General features: G+C 38.0%; 1 long non-coding RNA gene across 2 annotated transcripts in view; it reads left to right on the forward strand.

Annotated features, from left to right (window-relative positions):
* Positions 1 to 16,652, forward strand: part of LOC107983981 (uncharacterized) — a 417,903-nt gene extending 401,251 nt beyond the window's left edge. For both annotated transcript variants that reach the window (XR_932257.3, XR_004837531.2), the window contains one exon: positions 16,424 to 16,652. This is a non-coding gene — a long non-coding RNA (uncharacterized LOC107983981). The remainder of the gene's footprint in view (positions 1 to 16,423) is intronic.
* The last annotated feature ends 1,433 nt before the right edge of the window (positions 16,653 to 18,085 follow it).

Here is an 18,085-nt window from a genome sequence, read left to right on the forward strand (position 1 = left end):
TATTGAGCCCAGGCTAAATGTTGTTAGATTTTTAAAAAAGAGAATCTTTGAGAGCATCTTATTTTATGTAAGTGTGATTTTCTAGAAGAATAATGGGTGTTAGCGATAACTGGATTCGTGTCTCAGCTCTTCTCTTTCTGTGGGGCCTTGAATGTCTTCAAGAGTCAGTTTTCTCATATGTAAATGGAAACAATAATAACCACATTTTCCTCCATGGGTTGTCAGATGGATTCAATAAGATACTATACAAAAAGCACATTGCATAGCCTGAGTTATCCAGTTATCTGGAGCTCTACAGACCTATCCAAAGATTAAAAAACTTGAGAGCCAGACCTCGTCAATAAAATGTAGCCCTTGGAAAGGTTCTATAGCTACTCCAAGTAAAACCTACATTGTCTGTGACCCATCTAATGACAATCTTTCATCAGACAGATACATTTGGGATTTTATTCTATTTTTAATATATTTTTATTTTACTTTGAGTTTGGCATACAAGTGCAGAAAGTGTAGGTTTGTTACATACACGTTCTGTGCCATGTACACATAGGTATACGTGTGCCATGGTGGTTTGCTGCACCTATCAACCCGTTATCTAGGTTTTCAGCCCTATGTGCATTAGCTATTTGTCTAATGCTCTCCTTCCCCTTCCCCGCCACCCCCATCAGGCCCCGGTGTGTGGTGTTCCCCTCCCCGTGTCCATGTGTTCTCATTGTTCAACTCCCACTTGAGTGAGAATATACGGTGTTTGATTTTCTCTTCCTGTGTTAGTTTGCTGAGGATGATGGCTTCTAGCTTCATCCATGTCCCTGCAAAGGACATAATCTCATTCCTTTTTATGGCTGCATAGTATTCCATGGTGTATATGTACTACATTTTCTTTATCCAGTCTATCATTGATGGGCATTTGGGTTAGTTCCATGACTTTGCTACTGTAAATAGTGCTGCAATAAACATACATATGCATGTGTCTCTATAGTAGAATGATTTATATTTCTTTGGGTTTTTATTTTTATGACTATATTTTTATTTTGTTTTTATGATCATGTAACAGGTTGAATAGTATACCTCCAAATTGCTCTGTACTCGGAACCTCAAAATGTGACCTTATTTGGGAATAGAGTCTACATAAATATTAGTTATGATAATAATGGTGATGATGAGGATATAGTCTGTATTAGCTTTACACGGTTGCTGTAACAAATTGCCACAGACCAGGTGGCTTAAGGCCACAGAAATGTATTCTTTCACAGTACCAGAGGCCAGAAGTCTGAAATCAAATTGTCAGCAAGGTTAGTTTCTTTTGAAGTCTCTGAGCAAGAAACCAACCCAGACCTCTCTCCTAGCTTCTGATAGTTGCCAGCAATCCTTGGCGTCCTTGGCTTGTGGGTGCATCTCTCTAATCCCTGCCTCCATCTTCCCACGGCAGTCTCCTCTTTGTGTATCACTCTGTTGCTATTGTCTTGTAAGGTCACCAGTTATTGGATTTAGGGCCCACTCTAATCCAGTATCCTCATCTTAATTACATCTTCAAAGACCCTATTTCCACATAAGGTCACATTTTGAGGTTCTCAGTAGAGAGGAATTTTGGGGGACACTGCTACATAGTCATAAAAAACAAAATAAGAATATAGGCATAAAAATAAAATTCTAAACATACCTGTCTGATGAAAGATTCTAATTAGATTGGTCATGACCAATGTAGGTTTTATCTGGAGTAGCTATGGAACCTTTCCAAGGGATGTATTTTGTTGACAAATTCCAGTTTTCAAGTTTTTTTCAATCTTTGGGTAGGTCTGTAGGGCCCTAGAAAACTGGATAATTCATGAGAAAAATCCTGTTTTTCTGCCTCACCCAGTTTATGGTTTAGTCTTATCCTCGCTCATCTCAGTATGAGATGCCATATCTTTATTCAGCACCATCAGAGAAATAGAGGGTTTTGGCCAAAGTCTCTTGTTGGTGAGAGTATCCATGAATCCCCCACTTGTAGCTAGCTCAGGAAGAATTTTCAGTACTGTAAAATTCATGAAACATGGACACACTGATGAATGTAATATGGTCCTGCTTTAATGATTCAGAAGCACATCAAGGTTATGCTTTAAGGCCATAATTTTGAGCAACAGTCTTAACTGCAGTAGAAATATGTGGATGATGGCTAATAGAAAATCTCCATTAACCAACAGCTAGACTGGAAGGGACTAGCTCTTTTTCCCTTCACTTAAAAGTTAATAAATAAGTGAATTGGGATGGCAATTAAGCTCACCCTTTTTGCTTTATACGCCAATATTTCTGTACATGATTGTAGTCTCTGGGTAGGGTTGAGGATGCTGTATCAGAGACCACGAGAGGATTTTCCTGGTGGCACAACTTCAGGGCCAACATTGCCCTGGGAATTTTTTTCTCATTCTCCATGCATCTCCAAAAATGATGCACTCATTCTGGAGAAAAGGATATTATCACCTCTACAGAGATATAAGATGTATTGCTTTAATGCTCATGCAGTTTGGATGGGTTGGGATGCTTAGATAAAATACTATACAAAAATACAAAACAGTGCTCATTGGAATTTCAAATCATCTCCCCTGCACCCTTTTAAACTACTTTATATTTATTGGTTATGTCCTGCTGGGGCCATTAGACCTTTGATTGTATAGTGTTTCCTTTTTACACCTCTATTTTCACGTATTTTTGACATAGGGAGTATGTTTTCAAGCCAGAGGGGATTTTACCTTAAACAAAATGTGAGGGAAAAAACTAGCCACAATTAAAATTAAAGAAGTTAGTGTTTTCAGATAGTATTTTGTACCTCTATAACTTAACATGAGATTTTAAAAAATATAATATTGTTGATTTACACATTATCAGATATTTGTATTAGGATTTGGGACCTAAAACAAGGAAGTGATTAGTCATTCATAGTGGGAAACAAAGTCTATAGAGATGACCAGTTTGGAATAATTAATGTTGTCACAGAGACAAGGCTGCAAACATCTGTGTTCATTCCTAGTATCAACATCATTTTGTTACATAGGTGCTTGCTCTATAGCTTTCCTTACAGCTATTTTTATCTTTTCTTTTTAAATTTTAGCTTTTTATTATCAAGAATATTGGCTTAAGCTAAACAGCCCCAGCATAAATCCAGTGATCTGAGAAATTTTGGGTTGAATTTAACACACCGCAAAGGAAAGGCAGGATATTCTCTTAGGATAGTCTCCACACCTATAGGTTCAAAATTTTCCTTCAGAGCTGCACAGAAAATAAGTAATAGATCTGTTAGAATTGAAGACAGGGTTTCATCTGAAAATGTCTCTATTCTCTATACTTTGAGGGCCCTTAAATTCAAATACAAGGCTTGTGAGGCAAAAAGGCATGCAAACCCAGACTAGTAATAATTTGCCTATGCTTCTAACACCTTTGCCCTAAGTAATCCCACAGAGCTAAACTTACACTCCTTCAAATATAGGAAAAATGAGCTCATTAAATTTTAATCATCAATATGCTGCAACTAATTATAATGTGTCTTGTCTTAACTCATGACTGCTGTATAATAAATTCAATTACTTTGGTTTTCTTTTCTATTCACATAAACTGATCTCCAGTGAAAGGAGAGTTGCAAACTCCCATGAATGAAGGGAATGAGTAACCCTTAATTTTCAAATCGTGACCTCATTAGAGCATGTGTGTATGTGTGTGTGCACGCGTGTGTAAAATTTGTTTTTCTAAGGAGGAGAAAGTCAACACTTTGATAATTAGACACCCCCCTTCTTGGGCCTCGAGGGTGTCCTAATAAAGAAAATTTTATACATTGATGTGCTTCTCATCTCTTCATTTCTTTGTTCTATCATCCTGTTGTTAATAGCACCCTGCAGCAAAAAAAAATGTTTGTGAAGCTAAGAGCTGTCCAGATAAGAGAAAAGGTCATGATCTCCCTCCTGCGTGTTCATCAGCCAACGAACAACAATCTGAAAGTAAGAGGATGTCTGTCAATATGGAGTGGGCAGGCAGCAGCGTGCCATCAAATTGAAGGCAGTGAATGCTCACACAGTTGTACTGGGCTCCAACCTTAACCAAAAATCAATAATCACCAAAGTATTACAATATGAAGTGACTGAATCATGGGAGGCAGTGGTGGAGGGAGAGAACATATGTGTGAAGCTTTGTAAATGCTAAGAATGAGGAACGTGGGCTATTTCTCACCATCTTAAGATTTCTAAGATAAGTGTGTTAGAGACAACTAATTGAATGAAGTAGAGTCAGAGAATCCCAGACACACCCCATTTCATTAATGTACAGTGTGGCAGATTTTTAAAATGAGCTTCCAACTTCTGTAAAATGGAGAAATGAAGTCACTCGCTTCATTTCAGGCTCAAATTTTGAGTCCAAGGAGTAACATTAATTTGTGTATATCTTATTATCATTAACTTAGATAATCGGATAAACAGCAACTGTGTCATAGGACAAATGATATTCTTATGACGAGGTTTCAAAAATATCCTCGTGGCCAGATTTTAAAATAACTGAGTGAAGCGTCATCATTTTTTCCAGATTAGTTCAAACAAAGTCCCTGTCTTTCTTTCCTCTGAGCAGTGAGAAAATGCTCCTCTTCCAAGAAGACTTCTTTGATCCATTGGAGTTAAGGGAAGGATTTCCTCCTCTTTAGGCATAAAAACCAATTGTTTTCAGGCAACAGGGATGAATCTAACAGAAAAAATTGAATAATAAACAATAAACAATGTAAAATTTAAAAGGAAAATAATACAGAACTTCTTTACTTACGTATATTTACTGGCTGCTTCCTATAAGTATGCGTCACTCTCCTGTTTATAACTCATGAATAGTAATTCTTTTGAGAGAGAAAAACTGCGGCAACGAAACCACAAAACACGTTGTTAGGGCAAATGCATTTGGTAATAATGAGAGCTTTGTTTTCCACTTTTCTTTAAAAGTGGAACTTTTTCTCCCTTTATACTAATCCACTTATTTCACTCTTTTCTGTTTTGTCTATCCCTCTATGTATATATGTGTCTATCTATCTACTATTTGCCATCTGTCTACCAATCTATTTATTTATCTACCTACCATCTCTCTATCCTCTATCTATCCATCTATCTACTATCTATCTATCTAATCTATCTATCTATCTATCTATCTATCTATCTATCTATCTATCTATCTATCTATCTATCTATCTATCACCTATCTATTTCTAGTTCCAGCCCCACTGAGAAGTCTGGCACTGAGGTCTTTTCTCTCCCAGCCATATTATAAGCACAATCCTAGGGCCTTATAAGCAAAAGCATCCAGCTCTAAATAAAAAGTCTAAGAACACTGGATGCAATTAAATATTCAAGTTCTGTAAGTTTCAGCTTTATTTGAGCCTGAAAAGTATAGAACCGAGAGAAGGTTGTTTGCTTGTCTTTATGTTTTGATGTGCCTGATCATTCACAGAGTTTAGTCAGTTCACAGAAAAATCCCACCTTGAAATTCTCTTTTAATTATTATCTCTTTTACAGCTCAAGATTCCTGGCATCTCCTTTGGTGACTACCACCCCTCACTCCACACACAAACACACATGTGCAGAGAACAAATATACCTCCAATACACCTTTATCAAAAATATAGAGTAAATAAAAAATCAAGACATGAAGAATGTACCTGCTGGAAATGACTGTTTTTTTTTTATCCTGAATTTCCAAAAGAAACTGCTGATCAATTGTGAAGAATGTGGTTGCAATAAAAGTGAATATTAAGTGGAGGTGCAGTGGGGGCAGGGAGTGAAGACCAACTAAACCACAGTACCTGGTGAGGGTGCAGTTTGGGGCCTCTCTTGGTGGCTGCCCAGTACCCTTTGAAGTGCATATGCTGCATGGATGCATGGGTGCCTGGAGCTCAGCTAGAATGCCAAATCCATTCTCTCCTCTCTCTCCCTTTCTGTTGCAGAGACAGAGGCAAGGGCAAAAATCGTTGCAGCTCTCGTATTATGAACCAGGATGTTTATTGGTGATTTCTCTATAATTTGCAGGGAGAAATAGAATACGATCTAAGAACATTGGATTCAACTAAATATTCAAGCTTTAGGGTTAATAAACTTGAAAAGATTTTATGTAAGAATAATGATGGCTTTATCTTTATTGCACAATACACAGGTTTTTAAAAAATAAAATACTGTCGAGCCTAATTTCTTAGCCTATACTTCGGGACCAAGAGTCTTTCCAAGGTCTGGGGCAAGCTACTTGGTGAGTGCTGGTAAAGGAGTCTACTGCATCCCAAGGCACACTGGGAGCACTGGTGAAGTTGAAGAGTGAAAGGTGCGGGGAATGGAGTTTTCTCTTTCGATTAACAGCTGCTTAAGCAGCCATCTAGAGAAAGCTTTTACAGAAAAATTCAGGTCAACCTATACCAGGTCAACTTCTATGCCTTGAAGAATAAGAATACAGCATTCCCATTCAGCACATAATACAATGCTCTTCACACAGAAATAAATCAATAAATGCTGTTGACTGGTGTCTGACTTTACTTAATGTCTACCCTTTTCGTGCCTCAAACTGCTTTGACAGTATTCATTCACTGAGTTTTTGAGTAACCCTCTCTAACACACAAAATATCTCTCCTTCCTCATAATTACACAAACAAGGCAAAGGAGTCAGGAGACTGGGTTCTTTCTAGGCCTCCACCTATCACTAACATTGGCAGTCATATCACCTCTATGTTGCCACAATTTATTCCCTGTGAAACAGTGTATTTGAACCAAGCAACTTTGAAAGTTAAGATTTCTTCCAGTTCCAAAATTAAATCTTGAACGCTGATGACAATGTTGCTGCAATAAATGCAATAATATCTCTCTGCACTGTTATTGCAGTACCATAGTCATTATTATCATCACCAAGTCCAGTGTTGACTGTGCTTAGCACTTTACATATATGAGCTCACTTAATCCTCACCTGAGGCTTAGGAAGTAGTTACTATTACTACCTGCATTTTACAGACAAGGAAACAGGCAGAGAGAAGCTCAGTAACTTGCTGGAGGTCACACAGCTGTTAGCGACGGGGCTGTTAGTTGTTGTCCATTCAGTTAGATTTCAAACTCTTAAAGTTATGTTTTCTGCTTTTACTATTACCCTGCAGTCCCACTTTCAACATGCCCATGCATGTACACACATACACACATGCATATGCACACACCACACTACACAGCCTTGCCCCTGGGTGATCCTTGGTATATTTCAGATACTTGAACCCATAAAACTCTAAAACTGAAATTAAACCCAATCTATTAATTTATAGGAACAGTGAATTAAATCAGCCACAATATCAATTTATCCTAATATATAACCCATAACAAGAATTTTCTTTGTTTCCCCAAAGTGTTCCAATTTATATAAGTGATGAGATTCCAAATTATATAAGTGACTGGAATTATATAAATGACAAGGTTGATTTTCATGTGTGACAAGTGGAATCAGTATCATTACTTTGTAGTCACACTTCACGTTTTCCTAAATTACTGAATCAGGAGAAGATGAGAACGTCAAATTATTCTCTGAAGGGAACCTCATCTGAGTAGATATTTTATTTTGTTGGAGTCTGATAAGTATTGATTCATGGATTGATGGACGGATTTGAATCTGAGCCTGTATCAGACTTGTTAGAACACACTTCTTACACTTCTTAATTAAACTTTTAGGGAAGCAGAGGAGATTCTTTTTGAATTAATATTAATAATTGATTGTCAGAAAACAAGATTCTTGGAAGCAGGGCTATTTTGGTTTTCTGTGGATTCAGATGTGAATTTAAATATTACCTTCCCCACACCACTGCTCTATTAAAAACATAAGTAAATGGGTCCCAGTGTATTTGGTTTTTATTACTAATCTCAAAGACCATGGCGGTTGCCTTTTTATTCACGTTTACATTAGGGCTAACTCTTCTGGCCTCGCCTGTTCAGATCAATGTTCAGTGTGGGATCAGCAGTGTGGATAGAATTGACCTTCCCTGACCTCTTTTCCCTGGCATAAAGCTCGGAAAATGAAAATCAGAGGAACACTGGGCAGGCTGTTCAGCTTTCAGTAATCATGCAAAGCTAAAGCCTCTTTCTGCTCACTGCTTGAGGATATTAGACTTCAATATGCTGTGGGTCACACTGTCATAAACACTGAATTCTTAGGGAGCAAACAAATTTGGATAATCAGCATCTTAGAGTCCAGTCTACTGGGTACCTGAGAACTACAGCTTGTAGCAAAGAAGAGGTTTAAGAGGAAAAGCAGCAGAGGATCCCAAGACCTATTCTTGAGAAATAAGATAGATCATTCTTTCTCATGAGGGCAGGTGTTCTACTATCTCCTCAAATAGGGAATGGGAGAGGGCAGGGCTGGAAGGAGGCCTAGGGAATAAGACACATGTCTTTTTGAGTCCTGATCAGTTGTCAGAATCCTGTTTTTTTGTTTGTTTTTTACATTTGTCTAAATATAATACATTTTCTTATCCTGTAGGGAAGGCTTACCTGGCACAGATGAATTTTGAAAAACTGCCCCATCAGCAAGTAGGCAAGTTATTACCTTGTTAATTAGGGTCACTGCTCACTAATAATTTAGCCAATAACATGGTATTTTTTTTAACAAGGCATTTATTGCATTTATTTCCTTTGGCTAGAGCTATAATAAATACAGTGAAATTTATTAATTTATGAAGCTTTTATCTAACACAAATGCATTTGCCATGGTCCTAAATTTTCTTCAAGTCTTCGTATTCACATTCTATTGCCGTCATATTTTCTGAGCTCTGGAATAAAAGCTTTCCCCTCCCCAAGTAGGTTCGTCTAGGTATATAGTAATAATACCTAGCTTACAAGATTACTTTAAAAATTAAAGGAGATAATATATAGGAAATTGGCCTAAATACATACAGGAATTTAGTAATGGGGAAAAATAAATTATTCAATACATGGTGTTTAAACCATAGGATAGCCATCTGAAGAAAAATTAAATTTTATCCCTACTTCACTTAAACTTATCTACATTTCACATGGTTTAAATATTTAATCACACACACACACACACACACATACACACAAACACACATATAAGTAAACCATAAATGTAGTAGAGGAAAACATGAGCACCATGTTGGAGTTCGGATGGCCTTTGTAAACATAATCCAAACACTATAACAAAAGGAAAGGTTTGATAACTATTGGCTACAGTAAATTCTTTAAAAATCTATCTGAGAAACAAAATGCCATAAAATGATAAAAGAAAAACTCGGGAAAATATCTGCAACTTACAACACAAAAAACTTATTCTCTTATTACATGAAGATCCCTATAAATCAGTAAGATAAAGACCAACAACTCAAAATAAAAACGGACGAAAAATATGAATAGACAATTCATCAAAAAAGAAAGACAAATGGCTTATAACATGCCAAATCTAATTAATAAAAAGAAAATTGCAAATTAATTGAGTTTTGCAAATGTTACAACTGTTATGTTTACCAGTTGTTAACATTGTGTTATGTAAGCTTGTTAGAAAGCTATATAGATGTATAAATAAAATCTGTATAGATATATAAATATATATGTGTGTATATATAATACAAGAGCCTATAAAATACTATATTACACATTTAGTTGTCATATCTATTTAGTCTCCTTTAATCTAGGAATAATTTCTCAGCCTTTTAAATTTTTTTTGACATTTTTAAATAGCCAAGGCTAATTTCCTTATAGAGTGTCTCACAAAAACCAAGCTGGTATCAGAGAGCTCTCCTTCCCATTCCTGTTCCTTTACTATATTTTTACTTATTTCTGTAGGTACAATTTTATATTTTATGATTTATTTCTCCCTGTGTATCTATAAGAGTAGATAGATAGGTAATTGATAGATATAGATATTTCCATAGTTTGTCTTTTTATATATAGAAAGTTATAGTATACTATACATGCACTCTTCTGTGCTTTGCTTTTTTAACAAATAATATATTCATATCAATTTATAGAGATCATTCTCATCCTTTTGGATGGTTATATAATATGCTATTGTGTAGATGCACCATGGTTTATTCAACCAAAATCTAGTGAGAGGTTTACAGGTTAATTCCAATATTTTGAAGTTACCATAATGCTGTAATAAATAACTTTATGCATATGTTGTTATAGAAGTAGATTTTTAGGGTGAACTATCAATTTTTGAGGCATATTGATAATGCTTTCATCAAGATGCCATTTGTGTATTTCATGATATTTTTATATACTCCAGATACTGTTGGTAACCAGTCTACCTAAATGCCAGAAGTAATAATCAGTCACTAACATGTCAGGCAATATGCTAAGATCATTATAATATCTCTGCTAAAATATTATGGGTGTGTTATTTTATTAGGCCACACAAGCACAAGTAAAGGGCATACCATGCCCTCTTCTTCTTTCAGTTTTTCTATTCGTTTGATATTTGTCAAAAAGTGGGGAGACATGCCTTTTATATGCTTATAAACAAGTGATGGCTACTATTTAAGAATAACACACAACCCAAATAAACTCAAACATTAGGATCTTATGAAAGAGAAATCCAAGTAGGTTGACTCGGTGAAGAAATTTAATATCAAATCTTCCACTGAGAATTTCTCTAAAGCTCTGTAGAGACGCTTTGTATTTTCTGCAGTTTTATGGGAAGCCAGGAAGCTAGAAACACTTTATAAAGTCACCTTGCCCTCTTTGTAAAGCTATCCTACTTTGTAAGTGGTTGGTTTAGGTTGGTTTAAAAACACCAGAAGCAACAAATTCAACATGAATTTCATTTATTTTTGAAAAATTGAGTTTGGCTTTGGAAAATTTTGCTGGCGCTCTGTATATGTCTGTTTTGTAGTGACCCTAAAGAGAGCAGATAAACTGATGACAAGAAGGAATGCAGGCCACCGAGCCTCCTCTGATTCTAACCCTATTTCTCATCTTGCCCTTTCTCACTGCTAGTCTTCTGCATCATTCACTCTCCAGGATTCTGCCTGCTCTTGCCCTGTGGAGGATCTGGGAGTGGAGATATTAGAGGCTCTGGGCAGTAAGTTGGAAGACAGTGCTGCCCACACACACAGCAGGCTCTGGGTGTGGGCTCCACTCCTGTCTTGGCAGTTTCTCAAACTTCTGTAACTTACCCTGTCCACTCTCCTCCTGCTATTCTATAGGATTCCGTCTAGGAACAAAAGCTTACTTACTATCTCATATTCTTCTAAATTTCTTATCTATGCTCACATGAATTCTTATTGTTCCCTTAGGGCTTGGCTTTTGAATCTCAAATACCAAAAACAATCTTCCTTACGCTATGTCATCCTTCCCTCAAGGCAATGCATGCAGACTGTGTGATTGATGGGAAGAATGATAAAGAAGAATCATATCCGAAAATATTAGACATCTCTTCTTGCTCCAAGGCCCTGACTCCTTGTCCCATTATCCTCATCTTCTTCCCTTCCAAACTCAGTTAAAAAAAATCATCTGCCAAAGGAGAATCAAAAGTGATCTCACTTTCAAACTTATTATTTACTAGAGGACTATAAAACAACAGGAGCTTTATGTAAGTGTTTTTTAAGCCTCTTACGTCCATCATCCATCTCTTCTCCTTGGTCATTCCTCATCTCAAAGCCCAAAGCCTGGTCTTTGGAGACAAATAGAGGTGGAACTAAATCCTGGCTTTGCAAGAGAAATAAGATTTCATGCTCAGTTTCAACATCTGTAAAATGGGGATAAAAATACCTATCTGAGAAATTTCTGATTAAGACTCAATAAGATATATTTACAGTGTATAGAACAGCATAGGTGGTCAGTACATTCTCACCTCTGCCTCCTTCCCTCCTTTTGTTCTCTCTCCAAACACATATCTATTGCTTAAATATGATCATTAATAATAATAAGAGAAACAACAATAAAGTCAAAGATAACAAGTCACAATCCCTTAACCATCTTGATGTTTTCATTCCCTAAGTTTCATTTACATCCAGTTCTGAAGGATCTCTATAGTCTTTAGTGAAAAGATAAGCTTTTTGAATAACGTTTCAGATTAAAGCAATCTAAAAACCAAAAAAAATACTCTTTCAGCTTCTGTGAAAGAATATTCACTGTTTTCATTTTTAAATCTTGAGATCAAGGATTTGAGGTAGGGGCTATTAAGGTAAAGATGAGAGGGAAGCAGAGAGAGAAAAAGAGGGATGAAGATAAGATGGGATGGTGTGGATAAAAGAAAGAGAGTTGTAAGCATAAAAGCATGAGGGTTATGGCTTGTCTTGCAAAATAGAACAGATGAAGTATCCTCTCCAAGACAATTTTCTTCTTTTCTTACCCTCTGTGCTAAGATAAATTTTCTTTTCGGATCATGATTATGGATTAATTTATGACTTCCCTTAATTGTCTGAGCAACGCAGGGTTAATGTCCTGGTAAGGACAAGTTCTCTTTTACTTTATGAGAGCAATCACTTAACGAAAATTAGGCTATTACTTTTTATCTCCTTCTCCTTGGCAATGCCTGATAGCATGGGACACTTCTGCAAATTTTCCTCCTCTTGCCTGTGTTAGGGAATAGATCTTTATTTGGCTTTGACACTTTGAAGATTTCCTGATAGTTGATAACAAGATTGAACTCCAGAAATGTCATCTGGTAAATCACATTGAAGCAGTATATCTTCCCAGGGCTGTGAAGGTTCTGTTTTTGAGTGAATGTTGGTTCTAGGAGAAGCTACCACTAGAAGGGAATTTAGAACTAGTAGATACCCAAGGGTTATGGTGCCTTCTGCCATTTCCGAAAACATCGAACTAGTGCTGGGTGGAACATAGTGCTGTTGAAAAGTTTAGTTTGGAGCCATATATGTGCCTGGAATTGGTTCCTGGATCTCCAAGTGCCAGCTGTGTGGGTTAGAGCTTACTCTACTTACCCTTAGCTTCAGTTTCCTCATACATAAGATGGGAATAAATATACTTGCTACTTTGTTGGATTCTATCATAAGTGATTGATTAATTTACAGACAGTTACTGGATTCTACTCTGTATCAGATACTATATTAGTTTTTCAGGGCATAGCTTAGGTTGAGATTGCCAGAAGTAGACCCTGAGACAAGGATTTGTGTGAGAGTGATTTGTAAAGGAATGCCTCCAGGAGAAACCTGTAACAGAACAGTGGAAACAGCAAGGGAGAAGAAGACAAGCAAGGGTGCCATTTCAGGCAAAGACCCATAGAGGGTGGCTTGAAGCTGATCTTGAAGGGGATCGCTGGAAAATAAGTTATGCTGCAGTATTTGTTCCCACCTATGGAAAAGGGATCTGGACTTTCGTACTCCAGTACCAATCAGTCATTGGCTAAGGGCTGTCCCATGGGTGAAGGGTGAACATAAACTCAAGCCCTCCAAAGAGGGTTGCAGACACAGTCTGTTAGAAACAGAAGCATATGGAAGGCAGAGAAGAGAAACCAGGGATGGTAAAGGGGATTCCAGGAAATCCAAATGTTTCCTACTAAGAGATATAATAGTCAAAAGATAAACATGGTCTCTAACCTCATAGATTTTACACTCTTAATGGGGGAAACAGATAAGTAAACGGGCAATGCAGTGCTGTAAGGGCTGCTGTGGAGGAAGGTCAGGGTACTATGGAAGCGCAAGGAAGAAGCACTGGGAAAGGATCAAGGAAGTCTGCCCAAAGGAAGTGATGTGTAGTTGATGAGTAGGACTTACCCCGGCAGAGTGGGAATGAAGGGTCTTCCAGGAAGAAGGACTGCCTGTGTATGGTTCAGAACAGGGAGTATGGCATATTTGAGGAGCTGAAGGAAATACAGTGTTGACTGGAGTGTACAGTGGAGGGTGGGGAAAGAGGAAGCGTTGAGAAATGATGCTGTGGCAGCCAGCAGGATTCTGACAGCGCAGAGCTTGTAAGAGCTGAGTCAGAATTAGAAGAGGCATTGAAAGTTATAGGCTTGGCGTCCCACTAATACTCTACAAATAATATCTAATGGTGGAAATAACAGCTGGTGGGAGAAGTAGTGTCATTAGCAGTATTACTATGACCACTACCTCTACTATTACTACTCCCTTACAACTATTATTATTAAGTTGGGACCAAACTAAAGGCCTAGCTGTGTTACACTGTTTATGTGTTTATTATCTGTCTCTCTAAACAGCCTGTAACTTCCACAGGGTAGGAGTTGTGTGTTTTATCCAATTATTTGCATATTCAGCATAATATATTTGGTAAGTGAATAAAAAATGTTTCTGAGCCCTAGGCATGCCAGAGGTTGGGGTGGGGGTGGGAAGGGAAGGCTAAAGATGAACTAGACAGTCTCCAGGCTCAAGGGTACATTCCTTTATTTACTCAATGGCTATTCATTGAACACAATTTAGTAGTGCGTACTAAACCTTTGTTAGGTGCTGAGGATACAGTTACAAGGGACACAGATCCTTGTCGTCATGCAACTTACCATCTAGCATCATGTTTCTCATTGGGCATGGTTCCACCCCATAGGGAGCATTTGGAAATTTGTGGGGACGTTTTGGGTTGTCACACTATTGGAGGATGCTGTTGGCATTGGGATGGCAGAGAAGAGAGAGACTAGGTGTTCTACAATGTGCAGGACAGGCCCATGCAATGAAGAATTTTTCTTTATCCTGCATGATCTTTCAAACATCTTGGGGAACAGGCGTGTAGGTGACAAAAGCTCTTTGCAATTAATCTACAATCAAACCGGTTAATATATAAACACGAAGTGGCTTTTGTATGATTTTATTTTGTGCTGATTTTTTTTCTGCTGTGAAAAAATCACCTAATGTAGAATTTAGTGTCTTAACCACTTAACATAGCCTAACAAATCTTAACCATATAAACAGTGCACAGTTCAGTAGTGTTAAGTACGTTCACATTTGCTGTACAACAGATCTTTAGAACTTCCTCTTGTAAATCTGAAACTCTGTACGCATTAAACAACATTTCCTTTTTCTTTTTTCCACCCCCTGATGACTACCATTCTACTTTTGGTTTCCATGAATTGGACTATTTTAAATATCTTATTTAAGTGAAGTCATATAGTATTCATCTTTATGTGACTGCCTCATTTCACTTAGCATAATGTCCTCAAGGTTTATCCTTGTCAGAGCATATGTCAGAATTTCTTTCCTCTTTAAGGCTCAATAATATTCTGTTGTGTGCTTCTACTACATTTGGTTTATCCATCCATCCGTAATGGAACTTGAATTGCTTCCACCTCTTGGCTGTTGTGAATGATGCTGCTGTGAGCAATGGTGTGCCCATATCTCTTTGAGAGTCTCTTCCAACTTTTTTGGATATATACCCAGCAGCAGATTTGCTGGATCATATGGTAATTTTATTTTTAACTTTATACTTATTTTTTATCTAAAAAATACAATTGTAAATCAAGGAAAGATTGTGTTTTATTTCCCCAACTTTATCAAGAATTGTTCACCCTTTGCAAAAAATCACGTTGCCAATGGGAATGTCACTCATGGTATTGGAGTCACCAGTTCAATGCATTTAGATGAGTTTGCATTTGTAGCTAGGACATTCACAGCAATTCTATACGTAACATGAAGTTCAGACTAGCTGGTTGTATCTTTTTGCATGTTTGTGCCCAAGCATTTATGTAATAATGTGGATATGTATAATTTTTTTCACAAATTATTTTCTTTTTATTGTTCCCTTATTGTTAGCATTATATTGACTTTTTGAAAATAAATGTATGGTAGGTTATGTAATCTATGAACTTTGTTTTCAGGATGGTAAAAGGGAGCTATAAAATGTTATTTTAAAAAGGAAACATTAGTTTTGATTGGCTTAAATGTTCTAGATTTTTAACATGAACCACATTCTAATGAGAAAGAACTTAAACTGTGATACATATTCACAGCAAAATCTTCAAAACTGCTCTAGTTTTGTAGATCGGGATGGCTGGAGGCAGACAGATATTTCTGTCTACATCTAAAAAGTGGGTCACGAGGCCAGGCGCGGCGGCTCACGCCTGTAATCCCAGCACTTTGGGAGGCCGAGGTGGGTGGATCACAAGGTCATGAGATCGAGACCATCCTGGCTAACACAGTGAAACCCTGTCTCTACTAAAAATACAAAAAATTAGCCAGGCGTGGCGGCGGGCACCTGTAGTCCCAGCTACTCGGGAGGCTGAGGCAGGAGAATGGTGTGAACCTGGGAGGCGGAGCTTGCAGTGAGCCGAGATTGTGCCACTGCACTCCAGCCTGGGCCACAGAGCCAGACTCCGTCTCAAAAAAAAAAAAAAAAAAAAGTGGGGCATGTGTTTGCCTGCGTGAGGTAGGCTCCTTTTCCAACTGTCTTCAGTTTCTGAAACTTCTTTGACTGGACGAAAATGATGGGTCTGCCTCAGTTTTATGTTAAATAAAAATTAATCATCAGCACTTTTTGGGATTCCTTTCTTAATAGGTAAATAACCATTGGACTTAAAGAAGAAGCGTTCACCGTTTTGGAAAATCATACCTCGATGGCTATTCATGGTGTCTGGGTGTGCAAATCGAAATGCCTGTATCAGTCTATATTGGTAACATCACATTCCTGGTGACTCTACCTACAGGTAAAACATCTGCCTACTTCCTCATTAGGTTTCCTAGCATAGTTAACCCAGGGAATTCAGATATTGAAATATGTACTGTTTTATTATAACTTACTTTCCTTTTATTTCTTTTTTATATTACAGTTAGGGCATTATATTGATTTTTAAAAAAATATGTGTGTAGGCAGGTTATATTATCCATTCATTTCATTTCAGGTTAGTAAAAAAAAGGTACTGGAAAATATTTGTCATAAAAAGGAGATTTGGACCTGGTAGGTTTGAGAATCACAGGTCCCATGAATAAATAATTATACCACAACTAATCAATTACATTGTGATGAGTGCTATCCAAGGAAAGCACAGAGTGACATGAGCTTGCAGTTCTATATAGATTCATGACATGCACCCTGAAATAGCGATTTCGGTAAGTCCTTCATCAGCTGCTGTGCCACATAACTGGAACCTTGTCAAGAGGAGCTCCTTGTCCTTGCAAAGGGTGCAGGTGAGGAAAGAGTGTGGCATCCATTTGGAAGGCTAGGTTAGGTAAGGGTCTGGCTGTAGCACTTGAGGTGACAGGGCCTACATAAATGTGGCACTGTGGGGTGTGCAGGACTATAAAACAGGATTCTCGGGCTTGTTCTCTGGATGGTGAAAGAAAACACCACACCCTCAGGAAGACTTCATTTATTCATTCATTTAACAAGTATTTATTAAGTACCCTCTATGTGACAGGCACTTTTGGAGATACTGCAGGGAATAAAACAGGCAAGGATTCCTGTATGTCTGAAGCTTAACTTGCTGTCAGAGCAGCCAGGCAGTAAACAAATAAACAAGTAAGTGTGTAGTATGTCAAATAGTGATAAAGTCTATGGAGAAAGATAAGGCAGCATCAGGGGAATGGGGAGGCTGGAGATGGGATGGGAGGGCTATTTTATATCAGGTGGGCAGGGAAGCATCTTAGACAAGACGGCATGTGAGCAAAAGTGTGGAGTGCTTTCCATTCAGCAAGAGCAAGGCAGGCCAGAATTCTCTTGCATTAGTTCCCCTTCTACCTCTACCCGCTATTGCCGTTCTTCCTGCTACTCCCTGGTGCAGGCTTAGCAACTCACTTCTAGATAAGCACATTTATCTAGGAGTCCTTTGTTCCCCTGCTCTCTCACCCAGTTGTTCCCCCTTACATGTAGCTACTGCCCGTTCCTGCTGGATTGTTCTTCCGGAATCTGGTTGCAAATACATGCCTCTCCAAAACTCTGCATGAGGCCAGGCGTGGTGGCTCACACCTGTAATCCCAGCACTTTGGGAGGCAGAGGCAGGCAGATCACCTGAAGTCAGGAGTTTGAGGCCATCCTGGCCAACACGGTGAAACCCCATCTCTACTAAAAATACAAAAATTAGCTGGGCGTGGTGGTGGCCGTCTGTAATCCCACCTAATTGGGAGGCAGAGGCGGGAGAATCGCTTGAACCCTGGAGGCGGAGCCAAGATCTCGCCACTGCACTCCAGCCTGGGTGATAGAGCCAGACTCCATCTCAGAAAA

This window comes from Homo sapiens, chromosome 15, assembly GCF_000001405.40.
Source record: "Homo sapiens chromosome 15, GRCh38.p14 Primary Assembly".
NCBI lineage: Eukaryota > Metazoa > Chordata > Mammalia > Primates > Hominidae > Homo > Homo sapiens.